Source organism: Homo sapiens, chromosome 14 (assembly GCF_000001405.40).
Source record: "Homo sapiens chromosome 14, GRCh38.p14 Primary Assembly".
In the NCBI taxonomy this organism is placed as follows: Eukaryota; Metazoa; Chordata; class Mammalia; order Primates; family Hominidae; genus Homo; species Homo sapiens.
Window position 1 is genome coordinate 94,995,227 of NC_000014.9, and position 18,211 is coordinate 95,013,437.

The 18,211-nt window shown below is 45.3% G+C and overlaps 1 annotated feature.

The window, feature by feature from the left end:
- Positions 7,716–8,217: an enhancer, noted in NCBI's record as "H3K4me1 hESC enhancer chr14:95469279-95469780 (GRCh37/hg19 assembly coordinates)". NCBI's record gives its function as "activates a minimal SCP1, AML or CMV promoter by ChIP-STARR-seq in naive H9 embryonic stem cells {active_cell/tissue: H9 hESC(naive)}" and the evidence as "EXISTENCE:reporter gene assay evidence [ECO:0000049][PMID:30033119]".

An 18,211-nucleotide genomic window follows, 5' to 3' on the forward strand; every position in this document is an offset into this window, starting at 1 on the left:
CCAGAGCCCATCTCCAAGGGGAAGCTTTGTGGTTATTACCAGGCAGCAAAGCCTTGTGGTCCTGTATGTGGGATCTGGGCCAGACCTCCTGGATTAGAATCCTGTCTGCCTCAGAGGAGTTTCTGGATCTCAGAGAGGCAAGGATTCCTCATTTGTAAAATAGGATAATAGTATACCTCCTTCCCAAGTTGTTGTAAGAATTAAATAAGGCTACATATAAAAAGTATTTAACTGGTGCCTGCAGTGCCTGACACACGGAAGCAGGGGATGCCTAGAAGGACCAATCCAGGTGTTCTCTCTTTGTGGATTGCCCTTGCCCTCTTCTTTCTCACTTGTGCCCAAGGGCAAGTTTATCTGCCCCACCCACATCAAACCAGACACCAAGGTTCAGAGACCTCCAGCCGGGATGCCAGCTGAAGTTTCCCTGAGGCACCACCTTGGCAGGGGAGTGCGGGAAGGTACTTTCTTTTCTCAGAGACCGGAAGCAACTGGACCCTGCGGGGACAGGAGTCAAGGGAGAGAGTGGACATCTTCCGCTGCCAAGGATCGGGGATCAAAGGGGAAGGGGGTCGGAGAACATTCCTGCCTCCCACTGTTGGTAACTCCCTGGAAGGGGGACAGAGATGCCCGGGGCAGGGTCCCCCAGAGCAGGGAAGCAACTGGAACCATATTAGCTATGTGTATTACTATCGTTAGTAATAAATAGCCTGGCCCGCTACAGAGACCTGAAAGAATTTGAAGACACTCAGAATAGCAAAAACCCTTAGAGAGGGGTGGAGGAGCAGTTAGGTGGGTTCCTCAGAACAGTGGTTCTCAGCTTGGAGCACACAGCAGAAGCCCCAGGAGACTTGTTGACATAGACTGCTGGTCTCCTCCAGGAGACCCTGGCCCCGGAAGTGGGATGTGCCTGAGGGTTCTGCATGGCTACCCAGCATCACCCAGGGGCTGACACTCCATGGGCCCGGCCTTGAAAATCCCTCCCAGTCAGTGGGGTTTGGCTGCACATTAAAATTATTGGGGATGGCCAGGCGTGGTGGCTCAAGCCTGTAATCCCAGCACTTTGGGAGGCTGAGGTGGGTGGATCACCTGAGGTTGAGAGTTCGAGAGCAGCCTGACCAACATGGAGAAACCCCATCTCTACTAAAAATACAAAATTAGCAGGGCGTGGTGGCACATGCCTGTAGTCCCAGCTACTCGGGAGGTTGAGGCAGGAGAATTACTTGAATCCAGGAGGCAGAAGTTGCAGTGAGCCGAGATCGCGGCATTGCACTCCAGCCTGGGCAACAAGAGCGAAATTCCGTCTCAGGAAAAAAAAAAAAAAAAAAAAACTATTGGGGGTGTGTTTATTAAAAAAAAAAATTCCGTGCCTGGACCCCAGACCCAAAGATTCTAATTTTTAAAATCAGAATTAAAAAAAATCTCCCCCACCCTCTAAGGGCTGAGAACGACTCACTGTGTTGCAGGCAGTCAACAAATGCCTCCTGGGCTTTCTCTGCCCAAAGACATTTCTTCCAAAAACCTTTCCTTCTTCAGATTCTGTTACTAATTCTACAATACAGCATTTGGGAGTAGGTGGTAGTTTTTTTTCTCACAACCCCTAGAATCTACAGAAGTATTGGTTTCACTGGAATTATACCAGTGCTTCCGGGTAATTCTTTGATGATAGGCTTGTCCAGATCCACAATGGGAATACCTGTGTGGCGAGGGAGGGTAGAAAACAAAACCCCGGGGCTGCCTGCAGTACTGGAGCTGGGGAAACATGCCAGGTGTGGCTGGTGGGACCATCACAGCCCCTTATCCTTCAAGAGAAGGGGAGGGTGAGCCCTCACCCGCAATGAGGCAGTGGAATTTCAGAAGCGAACTTCTCAACATCAAGCAGCAGATTTGGGGGCAGCAGAGGAGACAGGGCAGGGACTCTGTGGCCGTGGGTTCATTTCTCAGGACTGCCGTAACACATTACCACAAACTTGGCATCTTCAAACAACAGACATCTATCCTCTCACCGCTCTGGAGGCCAGAAGTCTAACATCAAGGTGTTGCCTGGCCGAATTCCCTCTGACGGTGCTCGGGGAGGGCCCAGCTTCTGGTGTTCCTAGGCGCTCCTGGCTTGTGGCTGCATCACTCCAATCTCTGCTTCCATCCTCACATGGGCTTGTCCTCGGTGTCTGTGTCTTCTCCCCTGTCTCTTATAAGAAAACTTGTCATTGGGTTTAGAATCTTCTGGTTAATCCTGAATAATCCCATCTCAAGATCCTTCATTACATCACATCTGCAAAGACCCCCTTTTTTTCATATAGGGTCCCAAACACAGGGTCCAGAGGTTAGAATGCAAATAGATATGGGGGCGTGCAAGTTAACCTGATACAGCCTCTATCTGCAAAGATATGCAGTCTGCAAAGAAATGTTTGAATCCATGTTGCCTGTGTTCTTTCTCTCTGCCAGCTATGTTGCAGGTTTCAGAATCAGTAACATCCTAGTTTTAGCAGTGGACAGAAATAAAGAGCTAGGAAAGAAGAAACTTGGGAGGCCGAGTGGGCAGATAACTTGAGGCCAGGAGTTTGAGACCAGCCTGGCCAACATGGCGAAACCCCATCTCTACTAAAAATAAAAAAAAACTAGCCAGGCCTGGTGGTGGGCGCTCCCAGCTACTCGGGAGGCTGAGGCAGGAGAATCACTTGAACCTGGGAGGTGGAGGTTGCAGTGAGCCAAGATGACACCACTGCACTCCAGCCTGGGAGACAAAGCAAGACTCCGTCTCAAAAAAGAAAAGAAAAGGAAGGAAGGAAGGAAAAGAAAGAGAAACAAAGAAAGAAAAGAAAGAGAGAGAAAGAGAGGAAAGAAAGAAAGAGAGAGAAAGAAAGAAAGAAAGAAGGAAAAAAAAAAAACGAAGGAAGGGGAGACAGGCAGAGTAGGAATAGACCAGAAAGAACAAGGGCTTCCACCCTATAACTAAATCCCAGAGTCCTGGGTGGCCAACTGATATGAAAGACATGATCTTCTACTGAGTAAGGACCATGTTGCCTTTGACCTTGCTGTCCTCTCCCTGCTCTGCCCTCTCCACTGCTGTCTAACCAGCCACATTCTCGCTGTACTCAGGACTGAGCTCCAACACCACCTCCTCCAGGAAGCCCACCAGCTCTTCAGCCCTTCCCCTGGGCTGAGCTGGTGATTCTCTCCCCTGACCCCCAGGGTTCTTGATTTGGAGAAGGAAGTAGGAGGGGGCCCTCAGAAAAGCAAGGGGTCAGGAAATTGGACTCTGCTAAAAGGCTGAAGATGAAACTTGCCAAGTCACTGTATAGAAATGTTTCATGAAATGTTTCCAGATTATCTAAGCAAAAGAGAGACGCTCCCTTCTATGCTTTCTTCTAGTAGCATTCAGTCAATTTGATTGGCTTTATCTGGGAAAAAAAAAAGTCATGGAAAATACTAATTTCCCACTCTACTGAGTTGTTTGCTTGTTTTTTTCAAATAAGAAAATAATGTCTCACAAAATCTGGCATGCAGCCATGTAAATTAGTGACTAAAGCCAGGACAATACCATTTTTACAAATGCTCAGGTCACAGGCTCTTACGACATTTGGGGCCACCCCAAGCTGGGCAGAAATGCCCAGGCCAATCCCCGGCAGAGCTCGGCGTCAGGCTGGAGCTGGGCAGGGCGTGTCCTCAGCACACGGTGCAGTGGCTCCCGAAGACTCTGCAGCCAGGGGTGTCAGCAGCCTGCCCTCCCCACAGCTATTCTCCGTTGAAGGGAGGTCTGAGCGGCCACCCCAAGGCTGCCACCCTTGTCATGTAAATGGGGATTGGGAAATGGGATTCCACCAGCGAGACCTGGGAAGGCAGGAAAAAGCATAAGTCAAAGCTTGTGAGGGTAAATGTGCAAGGCAATGTGCAAATGTTCATTTGGGGGGATCCGCTCAGGATGGTTTCAGGGGACACAAGGGAGGGGTGTTTTGAGGCTACACCACAGCGCTTGGATTTTATGCTAAGGACAATGAGGAGCCGACCAAGGTTCTGAGCATCACAGTGACATAATCAGATGGAGGCTTTGGGAAGACAATGTCACTCATGATGCAGAAGCAGTGAATACTAATACATTGTATTTTGTAAACAGAAAATTTGGGTAAAAACAAAAATTTTTCATTAAAAAACATGAATAACATCCAAAGACAAACTACAAAGAGGGAAAAACTATTTGCAACTCACATCACAGAGAAGGGGTTGCATTCCTTCATTTCCAAAGGGCTCCTGAAAATCCATAGGTAAAAGACCAAATTCTGAATAGAAAATTGAACAAAGGAGGTGAACAAATAGTTCACACAAAAAGAAATATAAGATGGCTTTTAAACATATATCAAAAGATGCACAAACTCACTCTTGATAAAAGAAATGCAAATAAAAGTACAATGAGATACTATTTTACCTACTAAATTTACAAAGATTAAAAAACATATTTTAACCTATGCTGGTTGTAGGGGAGCACTAATCTCTAGCTTTGTGAAGAACGGTTCATCAATATGCGTTCAAAGTCAAATGCATGTTCTCTTGACCCACCAACTTGCTTCTAGGAATCTGTCCTGTAGCTACACAAGAACCTGGGTTTTCATTTGTAATAGGAAAAGACTGGAAGCAATGGAGAACTCCATTAACAATTGGGTGGTGGTAAGAACAATGTTATGGGTTGAGACTTGTCCCCAAAAAAGATGTGTTGAAGTCTGAATCCCCAGAACCTCAGAATGTGACCTCATTTGGAAATAGGGTCATTGCATATGTAACTGGTTAAGATGAGGTGGAGGAGGGTGGCCCTTAATTCAATATGACTGATGTTCTAGAGAGAATGCCTTGTGATGATGACAGGGAAACACAGGAGGAAGGTGGTCCTGTGACAACGGAGGCAGACATGGGAGTGGTGCAGCCACAAGCCAAAGAATATCAGGAATCTCTAACCACCAGCGGAAGCTAGGAGAGATGTGTGGAGCAGATTCTATCCAGAGTCTCAGAGGAAGCACGCTCCTGATCTTGAACTTCTGGCTTCCAGGGCAGAGAATTCTTTTTGTAAATTTCTATTGTGTAGGCCACTCACTTTGTGAGTGTATTAGTCCATTCTTGCATTGCTATAAAGAACTACCTGAGACTGGATAATTTATAAAGAAGAGGTTTAATTGACTCAGAATTGTACAGGGTGTGCAGGAAACATGGCTGGGGAGGCCTCGGGAAACTTACAATCACGGTGGAAGGCGAAGGGGAAGCAGGCAGGACTTACATGGCCGGAGAAGGAGGAAGAGAGAGAGGGGGAAGGTGCGACACACTTTTAAACAACCAGGACTCGTGAGAACTCACTCACTATCACAAGAACAGCGAGTGGTAAATCCACCCTCATGATCCAATCACCTCCCACCAGGCCCGTCCTCCAGCACTGATGATCACAGGTCGACATGAGATTTGGGCGGGAACACAGACCCAAACCATGTCGGGGGGCTTTGTTACGTCAGCCCTAGGAAACTAATACAAACACACCTTCTCGAGCTGCAGCACTACCTGGGTTAACGTCCCCCAGCTCTGCCACCCACTAGTTCTGGAGCCTTAGTTTCTTAATTTCTCTAAGCCTTCATTTTCTCATCTTTAAAACAGAAATAACAATACAACCCATCTCCTAGGTTGCATTTAGGTTAAATGAAGTAATACCTGAGAAGTTCTTAAAGAGAGGCTTGCACAAAGAATACAACCGTATCAGTGTCATTAAATATGAACAGCTGCATTTCAGAGTAAGATACAGTGCACGTGTACAGTAAAATGCTAAGCAGGCCTTAAAAGAATGCTTCAGATCTATGGGCACTGATATGGGATGATGTCTAAGCTATATTAAGGAAGAGAAAGCAAGAGGCAGGCCACCTTGCATAAGTTGCTCCCATTTGTGTAGGAAAAGACAAATACAGTGATCCTGTGTGATATGCAGATTTTGGGGTTAACTGGTAACAGTGGGTGTCTCCAAGGGGCAGCGGTGGGCCATGGGGACAGAGGTGGGAGAGTGTCTAACTTTTCACACATTTATACTTTTGGAAGTTTTCATCTTGTACATGTATCACCTCTTCATAAATTAAACGAATCAAACATTTGAAAGAAAGACCCTGCTGGCACTCACAGGAAAGAAGGAACAGATTGGTGGGGCTGGCTAGGATTCGGTGTCATTAGTCAACTGGGAGATGATTCAATCCTGACTCTGGGTGGTGGGTTCAGATGGAGAGGCAGGAATGTGGAGAGAGACTCAAAAGGTGCTGAGGGGATGGGCTCCCCGCAGAAGTGAGGGACAGGGAGAAGTCAGGGACCAGCCGGCGGATGGAAGAGCCACCTGCCAAGATCAGTGTCTCGGGCTATATGGACTGCTGTCACAACAGACCATGTACTGGGTGGCTTACTAACCACAGAAATTTATTCTCACAGTTCTGGAGGTGGGGAAGTCCAAGATCAAGGTGCTGGCAGATTCGGTGTCTGATGAGGGTTTGTTTCCTCTTAGACCGCCATCTCCTCACTGTACCCTCACCCGATGGAGGGGTGAGAACAAGCTTCTGGGGTCCCTTTTATAAGGGCACTAATCCCATCCATAAGGGATCTGCCCTTCTGAACTGGTCACCTCCCAAAGGCCCCACGTCCTAACACCATCACCTCGGGGGTGAAGCTTTCAACATATAAGTTTTAGGGTGACACAAACGTTCAAACCATAGCAGAGTTTGGGATGTGCAAGGTGAGCAGTGGAGTAAGGAAAAGGTATTCGCTCCTCCTTCAGAACATGCCTTTTAGCTTCTTCTACATCCCTATTTGGTCTGTAAGGCTTGTTTTCCACTCTGTCTCAGACACACGGACCTCTTTGGTGTTCCAGAAAGGAAATCCAGCTTGGACAGAACCAGGCTTGTCTCCCAGTCCCACCACTTTCTGGCTGTGTCAGCTCACATCAGTCACTCAGCCTCTGAACTTCTTTATTGAATGAAGTCCTATCTAGAGAAAGAATGTGTGGGCTACAGGAGGTGATCGACAATAGTATTGTTTCCAGTAATAACTGTTGCCATAAATATGTACAAGTTACTTTTTGCCTAAGAACTTCATATGGATATGTAAGCAGGCTTATTTTTAAATCTGCGTCCGTTACAGTGAAAATAAAAGTTGGCTTTGGCTTCTGTAAAAGGAATCTTTTGAATTCCAAAGAAAGAGGCTCTGGAATTCAGAGGTTTGTTTAAAATGGGCAATCCCAGGAGTCTGCATCTGCTCCCGGCATCACAGGCAGGAAGTATCGCTGTGAACAAGATGCCAGGCAGGCAGGCACAGGTCCTCAGACAGAAATGGCTGGGCGCTAACTCGCCGATAGCAACAGAGACAACAGCAGCTTCCACCCCTTTCTGGGGGCCAACCACATACACCCACTGGGTAGCCCCTCTGTGAGAAAGCTTTACCGATATTACTACCATGAATTCCAACTTCAATTAGCAAATTCAGTCCTAGAATTTCCAGTTCAAAGATGGAAACATTGAGGTTCAGGGAAGTTACACAGCAAGTCCAAATTCACACAGCTGGACTGCAGGGCTGAGGCCAGGTTTTAAATTCAGTTCTGCTTGAGTCTGTACTCCTGACCACTATGTTATACCAGGCGGCTTCCTGTGCAACTGCTGGCTGGGAGTGGGCCACCTTTCAGAGCTGGGGGTCAAGATCTTGAGCCTTGTTGCAGTGTTATGGCGGTGGAGAGGGACAGGAGAGGCCCGGAGACAGCACCTCCTCACCTTGGCTTTTCCCTACGCCTGAGACCCTGTCACTACTTCGTCTGAAGTACAGAGGCTCTAATAAGACTCTCCTGCATCCTTCTTTCTTCCTGGAAATTACATTAGACAGTTTCCCCAATGCATGTCCCATGGAACACCAGTCCCTCCTGCCGTTTTCTAGGAACCAGGCAAGAAGGAGTTCTGTGAATGAGCTTCCACCAAGAATTCCTGAAACAGGCTTCCACAGAGCCCCTCAGGGTAAACACTGGCTCGAGCAACAGCCCTAATCCTTTTCTAAGGCACAGAGGAAGTGGCCACGAACATTTAGCTCTCTGGAGTCACTGCAAGAGACTGTGAGAGCTGGCACTGGGTTGGGAGGGGGTGGCCAAGAAACCACCTGGCTCAGGGACCATGGGCTGCGCACGGCCAAGGGGCTACTGTTTCTAATCAGCAGGTGATCAAATATTAAGGGTCAGGAGCAGGGACAGAAAGGGAGGTGCAGCTCCTCCCTAATGAGGCCTGGATGACTGTCAGTGGCTTGGCAGAGGGCCCTGAGCCCTGGGTGGACACGGCCCTAAGTCATGAGTAGCATCACCCTTGTCACTGCCACGGGCCACCCCTGACTCTCTTGTGCCTGACCCAGAGGCTGGGCCTCAGGCCTGGCTCTGCCTTCGAACACACCAGTTTTGCATCTATTTGTAACTTTACTTCACAGCCTATATATGTCTCTGCTCATTGAATTCTCCTTTGAACTTGTAACGTCTTACTGATGGCTTCAATAACTATCAAGTTAAACAAAATCGCTGACATATGGTCATTTCATATATTTATTTTTATTATATTTACTTTCATCTTATTTACATGTCATATTTTTTATCTCCTTTATCAACAGTCTCCTTTATCATCTTTTATCATCTATTAATCTACTTTATCATCTCCTCTTATAAACGGTCACAAAAATTTAAACAGAATTCCAGCCCCTTTTTCTATTAATTTTTTCCTCTTGGTTTCCTTAAGTTTGTGGAGTGCTCTTTCTCACTTCTTGACTTAAAACATTAGTTCATTGATTTTTATTAATTCTCATTTAACAATTGAAATTATTTTATGCTACAGATGTACATCTTTGGTAGGAAGAAAAATGGCCCCCACAAAGGTATATTTACTTCCTAGCCCTCAGAACCTATTAATATTACCTTCTATGGCAAAAGAGTGAATATCGCTTTATGTGGCAAAAAAATTGATAAAGTGATCCTAGGTTATCTGGATAGGCCTTAGATGCCATCACTTGCAGCCTTACAAGAGAGATGCAGAGAGAAATTTAACGTGGACACAAGAGGAGAATGTGAGGCCAGGCGTGGTGGCTCATGCCTGTAATCCTAGCACTTTGGGAGGTCGAGGCAGGAGGATCGCTTGAGCCCAGGAGTTTGACACCAGCCTGGGCAATATAGTGAAAACTTGTGTCTACAAAAAGAAAAAAATTAGCCGGGTGTAGTGGTGCATGCCTGTGGGAGCTACGCGGGAGGCTGAGGCAGAAGGATCGCTTGAGCCCAGGAAGTCAAGGCTGAAGCGAGCTATGATGGCACGATTGCACTCCAGCCTGGGTGACAGAGCAAGACCCTGCCTCAAAAAAAGAAAAGAAAAGAAAAAGAGAAGGCGATGTGAAGACGGAGGTAGGTACTGGAGTGAGGCAGCCTCCAGCCCAGAGGCTCTGGGAGAGCTCCCAGAGCCACATGAGGAAGTGTGGCACTGCTGACACCTTGACTTCAGGCTTGTCAGTTTCAGAAGGGTGAGAGAACGCATTGCTGTTGCTTTATGCAGCTTGTACAGCAGACACAGGAAACTAATACATCATCTAATGCAGACTTGGTCAAGTTGCAAGTGTTTCTGTGTATTGGGTGTTCATTTTCAATATTTTCTAGGTGGTCTCCAATTGCAGCTTTTAGTTACGCTCTCATATTTAGAAGAAAAATTCTGCCCATTCTTTTTAAGTAGTTCTTGTTAGTGGCTTTGGCTGATAATGTTTAGCGTGTTAGTATATGACATTATAAATTGGGATTGTCCTTTTTGGGGATTTATCCATATTTTTACTATGGCAAAATTTATTATCAATGTTTTTAATGTTCCATGGGATTGGAAAAGTTGTAAAGCAACTTATAAGAGGAAGTAAATCCATCCATCCATAATTTGTATCATCCAAGTTCCTTGTTTTACCTACTTGGTCTTAAATGATTAAGAGATGTCTGTTAAACTGTTCTACTCTTAGCATGTTTGTGAAAATTTCTCTTTGCTTGTTTTTTAGATTTTAATACTATTTAGTACATCCCATAAAACTCTGGGATTTTGTTTTCCTTGTTTTGTGTTCTTTACTTCTTTATTACCCTCGTAATTTTTTGTAGTTTCTCGATCTTTTTTTCTCTGTTACAATTTTTGGAGAAAAAAGAAAACAAAACACATTTCCTTCCATCTTTTTGAGCCATTTTGTTTTACATGAGTCCCATGGAGAAAGTATATAGCTTAATTTTGATTTTAGTTTTTGTATCCAATTGTAACCAATTTTGTTTTTGTATCTCATTCGGGAATAAGCATGAGGTTTAACCCCTTTACACTTAACTGATATTTTTGTTCTTGTTTCTACCACTTGTTTTACTACATGTTTTAAAATAATTTTTCTGCTTTCTTTAGCTTTGACTTTTTTTTTCCTTTTTTTCCCTCTGCATTTGCTCATGTAAACAGGAATTTTTTTCTATGACTGTGAAGGTGTACATGCCATTTTTAAATCTTCTGGACTCACTGATACCTACCTGCTCCTTCCAGAGCTGTCTCTTCACTGACACTCCCAGCTCTGTAGTTGGGGTAGCCACCCCTTTGTTTATTCCTATAACAAATACGTAATGAATCCATGTGATGTGCCAGGCATAGTGCCAGTCCCCAGGAATCAAGTGAACCATGTCCTGCAGCTCCTGCCCCTTGGGACAGATGGTCTGGTGGTGGGAGAGAGACCTTAAGCTAGCAATTCTATTAATAATTATTTTAGCACAATTGCAATAACCATACAGCTGCCTTCAAATTCTATGAACGTGTAACAGTTGGAGGAAGACATATATGACTGGCTTGCAAATACATGTCTCTATATAAAGGGTCTCAGAAGGACCCAGGTTTCAGCTGCTTACATCTTACAAGCTGTGATGCTTTCTGGAAAAGGCTCACTGCACATAGGCACTCAGAATCATTTTGGAATCTGCCCTCTGCCTGCTGGAATCCATTTCTAACCCATGCCTGGCACTCTCCCCTAGCTACCAGCTGGTGCAGGGTCTTCCCTGTTTCTACAAACCATGCTTATTTCTGTGAAGGCCAGGAAGAAAGAATCACACGCTATGCGCTTTACTGGAAAGATTAAAGATTTTGCTTCCTTGAAGGCCTGGGAACTAGCACAGCGACTAGCTATTGAAATAATGTATTCACCAGAATCCTTTACTGTAAGCTGCCTCAGCCCTTTGGGAAGAGGAGAGGACATAAGTAATAAATATATTATTATAGTCCTGACTCAGTCCTTAACTCACTCTGCAACCCTGGGTGAGTCCATCGGTAGACTTTGGTTTTTCTGCCCCATCCTGATGTGGCATGACAGATACAGAGTCAATGAGTAATTCATGCAAGTCCATGCACCTCAGATTTTGCCCTAGATCTGGGGACAGCAGGAGAGGAGGCTGGGGGGCAGGAATTAGTGTTCACTGGGGGAAACACTGTAGGATGTTCCAGGAGAAATCTGGAGATTCCATATGCAGAAATAGACCCAGAACGAGTTCCTCATCAGGCCTCCCAGGAGACAAGTGGTTGGGGGATCGAAGCAGGCTCAGGAATCAGAGAGGGAGATGGAGTTTCATAGGCACACACAGGCCGCATGGGCCTCTAAGACATGGGGCTGAGGTGGTCCCTTGGGCTCTGCCCAGCTCTGACGCTGTGGCTCTCCAATCCTGATTCATCTGGTGTCCTGAGAACACAACGTGGGGACGTGCCCACCATGGCTTCCCATTCAGCTTTCCACCAGGGTCAATTGTTGCAACTACACCTTTCCAGCGATACCCCCTTGTTAATGTCAAACTAGTTTTCCAAGAGGCTTACCCAGAAAGAAGAGCTTATGGAGGTTGGGATCAAATCAAAGCCACTGGGGTCAGCAACTGTGTCAGCTCCCTTAGAGAGGGTGTTCAAGTGGCTGGTGCAGGCAGCAGAGAAGGGGGTCTCAAGGCTCAGCTCAATTGAAACAGCTCTGGTCCCTCAATAGCTGTTTCCCGGCCCATCCCACAAGCCCAGAAGGCTTAACAAGGACATGAATATGAACCTGGCCCTCCTTCTGCCCTGTTTCTGTCATAGCCCTTCTACCACCCAGCTAGGTGGCTCACCACCCAACTATCTTGCAGGCAAATATATGAACAGAACATCAGCTTTGGGATGGGAATAGGGAGGCAGGAAAGAAAAAAAATTCACCCACATGTTCTCCAACTCTACCTTGCCCCAAATGTAGCTCTTAACAGGAGGCACCATTAATAACTAGAGCTAACTGCTAGCTAAGATTTTTCTCTTTCTTTTTCTTTCCCCTTTTTCTTTTCTTTTTTTTTTTTTAATCTGGTGTTTATAATTCCAATTGGTGTAAAATTTCCTGATGGTTAACACATCACATTACCGACACTTTTGAATAAATGACTCATTCCCAAATAATTGACTAGCTTTGTAATTTGGGAAGTAAAATCACATTTACGAGTCCCTGGAGTGGAGGGTCTATATTTTTGTGCATAAAAAGTAGATAAATCATAAAAGCGAAATCTGCAAATACTCCCATTAGCCTTTGTCCTCGCATTAAGGCAGCGCCTCTTAAAAGGGCACAGCTGCCTAGAATCACCAGAGGGCTTTATACTCGGGCCCTGTTTTATCTTGATGGTAAAATTACATGTTGGTCACTGTAATCCCGTGTCCAGTGGGCCGGCGGCACTCCATGTCCCTTTCCCAGTCCAGCTTCTCATTCCCATTCAAACCATCCAGACCACATTGACTTTGGGTGCTTTGTGGCCAAACATGGAACCCCATCAAGAAGAAACACGCCTCCATTGCGACAGATTCAATTACCAGCAGCATCCACAAATAATAAATAGGGGCGTTGTCAATTTAGGGTTCAACAAGCCCCCCACATGATCCTAATAAGACCTGACAGGGATTTTTTTTTTTTCCTTTTCTTTTCTTTTCTTTTTTTTTTTTTTTTAGTAGTTGGGAGTCAACTATCATGACTTTGTTTTAACTACAGACGCACATGCATTTTTCAGTATATTCATTTTTAAGGGCAAAAAGTACACATACAACCGAAAATGCAGACTCAAGCCTGCGCTATTTTGTGCTGAACTCTAATTGTATTTTTATGTGCTGTGGATTTGAAATCTAGAAGTCCTGGGATTTTAAGCCTCAGGTCCTTTTCCCACTTTTCCAGAGTACTATAAATTAGTGTAGTATGCTTGAAAGAACCCCTAATTGTAACTGCTCTTGTTGACATATCAACTTGAGGCCGCACAGAGCTGGCTTAGAGGCTGCTGCCCTTGGTTTTGTAGTTACCCTGCATTTCAAGGGCCTGACAGATCCGGTGCTAAGATGTTCTGAATTAGATTTGAATTACAACCGCTAAATGCCCTTGTCAAAGATTGTTAGTCCTGACACTAGCCATGTACCTTGAGCTGACTGTTCCGATGCAAGGCCGACGGCTTAAACAAAGACATGCCCCCAAGTTTCATTCCGAATTGTCAAAACGTAATTGAGTTAAAAAGAGCAACTACAGCATAAGAATTGCAATCTTCGCTGCTTCTTTCTGCTTTGAAATAAATCCAGGGGACAATTTAGCGGCATCAGAGGCACAAAACGAGAAGGGTGTTTTCCACCAAGATGTGGGGTTCTAAAAAAATAAAAATCTAAACCCATCTCTGTATTCCAGGATGAGACTAGCCGAAGACCTTGCTGAATGCCTTTCAGTTTTGGACTTAGTCCATCCCATGTGAAACAAGTAAAAATAGCCAGCTAGAGAACTGACCCAGCAGAGTGCCAAGTCCATCGCTATCACTCAGCCAATGTTAGGCATGGTAATGAATGAATAAATTTTAAGAAAGATCAACAGATCGTGGGTAGAAAGATGGAACGTTGAAGCCAGGCAACCAAACTTGAATTTTCTTCTTCTTGCCAGATGTGTGATCTGACCAATTGCCTACCTTTTCTGAGCCTCTGTGTCTTCATCTGCAAACATGAGGACACCCAGGATACCCATGACTGCCTCCCAGAGTATTGAGTGAGACCATGGCTATAAAGCTGCATTGGCACATTGCAGCCAGCTGATTGGTTTTCTTTCCTTCTTTAAGAGATTGCCCACAGCAGGGCTTCATGAAGCTGTAATGGGAACTTTCAACCAAAATCCACAGAGCAGCAAGGCCTGGAAAGGCTGCCATGTGAGTGCCCAGCTCAGAAGCCATGAAAGCTAAGCAGCACAGACAGGTGGGCAGCTGCTGGTGTCACAGGAGGAGTGGTAGCGACCGTCGTGGTTGAAGAGTGCCTGCTCCATCTGAAAAATCCCCAAATTCCGATTTCAAACACATCATCCAAAACAAATTTAGCTGCGTGAGGACTCAGCCAGGGGCCAGCAGTTTGCAGAGGATTTATACCTCAGTATACTTAAGAGAAGGCATCTGGTGAATTGAAAATCAAGTTGCCAGATAAAATGTAAGCTCTGCTTCCCCCAGTTATATTTGAATTTCAAATAAATAATTTTTTAGTATACATATATCCCAAATACTGCAACGGCATATTTAAAAATTATTTACTATCTAAATTTAACTTTAGTTAGGGGTCCATTTTTTTCCCTGCTAAATATGGCAATCCTCATTAGAAAAAAAACCTAGAACTGGCTGGGCACAGTGGCTCATACCTATAATCCCAAAACTTTGGGAGGCCAAGGCAGGCTGATCATCTGAAGTCAGGAGTTTGAGAGCAGCCTGGCCAACAAGGTGAAACCCCATCTGTACTAAAAACACAAAAAATACCTGGGCATGGTGGCGCACACCTGTAATCCCAGCTACTCGGGAGGGTGAGGTGAGAGGATAGCTTGAACCCGGGAGGTGGAGGTTGCAGTGAGCCAAGATTGCACCACTGCACTCCAGCCTGGGTGACAGAGAGAGACTTCGAAAGAAAGAAAGAAGAAAAGGGAAGAAAAGGAAAGAAAGAAAGAGAGAAAGAGAGAAAGGAGAGAAAGAAAGAAAGAAAGAAAGAAAGAAAGAAAGAAAGAAAGAAAGAAAAGAAAGGAGAGAAAGAGAAAGATTAAGGAGAGAAAGAAAGAAAAAGAAAAGAAAAAGAAAGAAAGAAAGAAGGAAAGAAGGGAGGGAGGGAAGGAAGGAAGGAAAAAAAAGAAACAGAGGGAAGGAGGGAAGGAGGGAAGGAAGGAAGGAAGGAAAGAACGAACGAACGAAAGAAAGGAGGGAGGGAGGGAAAGAAGGAAGAAGGGAAGGGAGGAAGGAGGGAAGGAAGGGAAGGAAAATAAAGAGAAATAGCCTAGAACTGGAAGTAAAAAAAAGACAGGAGGAAACCCAGCTCCAACTTAGTCATGCATTGAACCTCCCTGAGCCTCAGATTCCTCAGCAGTGAAATGATAACATCAGCCTTGAGTCCCAGGGGGAAGAAGGGGCATGAATCCCGATGGCCTTGGGTGCTGTTTTACTTGAACATGAAGCGCTCTGCTCATGTTCACTGTGGCTATTTCAGAACCGGCAAGTGCCATCAAGATGCCAAGCGCAAGAGGCTGTTTCATTCCCATAGAGATAAGTCCCCGCTCCTCCCCTTGCTAAGGAAAGTATGCAGCGTCTCAACTACACATGTATTTCTTAGCAGGGATGGAAATAGCAAGCTCTCAAATTGCACCTCGGATTCTTGGACTTGGAACAGGGAGCACAAATCCCGGCAGCTTAATATGAAAAAACAAAACAAAACAAAAAAAACACTCCGGAGAAGACGTTCCAGTGGCTTGTTTGGGGATCCCTCATCCAGGGGCGAAGGAGTGTGATGAGAAATGAGGTTCTCTGTCCACATCTGGAAAGGCCATCTCATGCTTCCCTAGGGAAAAGCCCGAGGCGCCCAAGGAATGTTTGCCCTGGCGAAAGCCGAAAAGGGGAAAGAAAAAGCAGGTAGCAGAGAGGGACAGAGAAGCCACTAAAACGGGAGGTTCTCACTCAGCCTCAGACTTCGATCTGGAGGACCGAGAACAGCTGCCCTTTCCTCTTCTAGGCTGCAGAAAAATCGCTTCCATGCTCTCAAGTAAATAAATGAGAGGAAAAACAATCATTTTTGTGGGTCCTGCATAAAGCCCAAAGCAAAATGTCCTCCTTTAAAAAAAAAAAAAAAGCTGAAATGATGAAGTATGCGTCTGCAATTTTACCTACTGGCACGCCCCATCGGATAAACAGGGTTTTATGAAGGAAAATTATTTCTTGGTTAGAAAACTCCAGACAGATGAAAGAGAGACACTTGTCTTCAGGCCCGATAGCACCAGCTTTGAAGCCACAGGTTTGAGGGAATTAGCTCAACCCAGCATCCCTTCACTCTGTTCGTGGCGTTAATTTCCGATTCCATTAAGCAGCCCATCGGCTCGCAGCCTCCCCTCCTCCCCTCCCCGGGCCTGATTCGGATGCAAGTCACAGCGCCGGAGTTCAAGCTGCTGCCTCTTAAGAAGGCCTATTTTGACACAGTAATTACAGTGCTTGAACGATGCTTTACATTAGAGTATAAAACACTCATTAAATTAAAATTCTTCCATGAAATCATGAAAATAAACAGTCTGTCCAAACTGGCATCAACAAATTCACAGGGTGCCTCTGCGTTTTCTCAGCCCGGGCTAGCTAAGGGCTGCATGTAACCACGAAGTGTGAACGGTTCACATTCCTTTGAAGGCCGCATTCTGCTTCTTTTTAAGATTATTGCTTTAATTGTTTTTACAACTTGTAAGATTTTAAAGCTATTAAGCTTCCAAGTTGGGAGTGGGAAAACTTGAAATGGGGACCATGGTACCCGGCCCAGGGTGGGAGTGGGGGTGGGAGACAGGTTACCATTCCCAGCCCCCAGACCCTTCTGGGACAATTAAAATGCAAGGGACAAGATGAGATGGGCAATTTCTCCATGGCCCCTTGAGGGATGGAAAATAAACCTCACATTTCAAAGAATCTAGATAGGAGAGGAGGCAGCATGGTTGCATGAAAAGGGTAGGGCACTTACAGCCAGCCAAACCGGGCATGAACTTGGCAACTGATCTCTCTGAGCTCACTGTAAGATAAAGTGAGGATACCCAGGATGCCCATGCCTACTTCTGGGTAGGTACTTGCTGGGACTACAGGCATTTGCCACTGTGACTGGACACAACTGTTACTATTAAAACACATTATTTCTTCCCTCCAATTCTTCCCCCTACTTCTCAGTCTATGGCTGTGTGTAAAATAAAGATAAATGAGTACAGTGGATCTCATGATTTGTTGGAGTTACGTTCTCTAAAGCAGCCGCAAACACCAAACTAGCAAACACAGAACCACTTGCTCCTAGGAGAAACACAGGCTTAGGTTCCTACAAGCCTCGGGTCACGTTTTTGTCAACTGATCAATACATAACCATGTATTATGTGTTTTGCTTCAAGACATCGTATTTAATATATGTTGTTGATGTATTAACATTCAACTCAGGGCCAACAGCCCAGCCAACTCATGCCTGAATGACGCTCATCTATGAGCTACATGTTCTCTGCGAGGCACATCACAGCCTAGGAGCTTGGGCTCAGGAACATTAGACAGCACTTCTGCATTGCACTTGGGAGCCATTTTTAAACAGCAAAATCACCAACAAAAAGTGCTAAAAGGCAAACAAAATGTATAGCACTAGATACATTGCAATGAGGACACTTGTTTGCCGTACGGAAGCTGAAAGACGAAGGCAGAGAGCACGTCGCTGTGTTCATCCTCAGCTGGGAACATGCAGAGACTCAAATTATTCCCTACTCGGCCCATGTTGGTGAATGACTCCAAAAACAGCACTGAGGTTACAGATAAATTGTATCAAGAAAGCACATTTACCAAAATAGGATCTATGAGCCATGAGGATCAATTGTACTTTATGGGCATAAACAGGGGGGGTGCCACTGCTTTCCAAGCAGAAATGTCAGAGAAGAAAGTGGAGATGACATGTGAATGTGTGTCAGGGAAGAATCAATCTTGGTGCTGCTCCATGATACCTACAGAGACAGGAGCAAGAGAAGAGTGACAAGAGTTTGATCAAGTTGAAGACAAGACAGATGTTAAGATGCAGGTGTCTAACATTTTATTTAGCACCACGTGTTGATGGGTCAAAGGCTTTGTCTAAAGGCAGGGAGAAGATGCTCTAGAAAGAGAATGAAATTGAACAAAGATAAT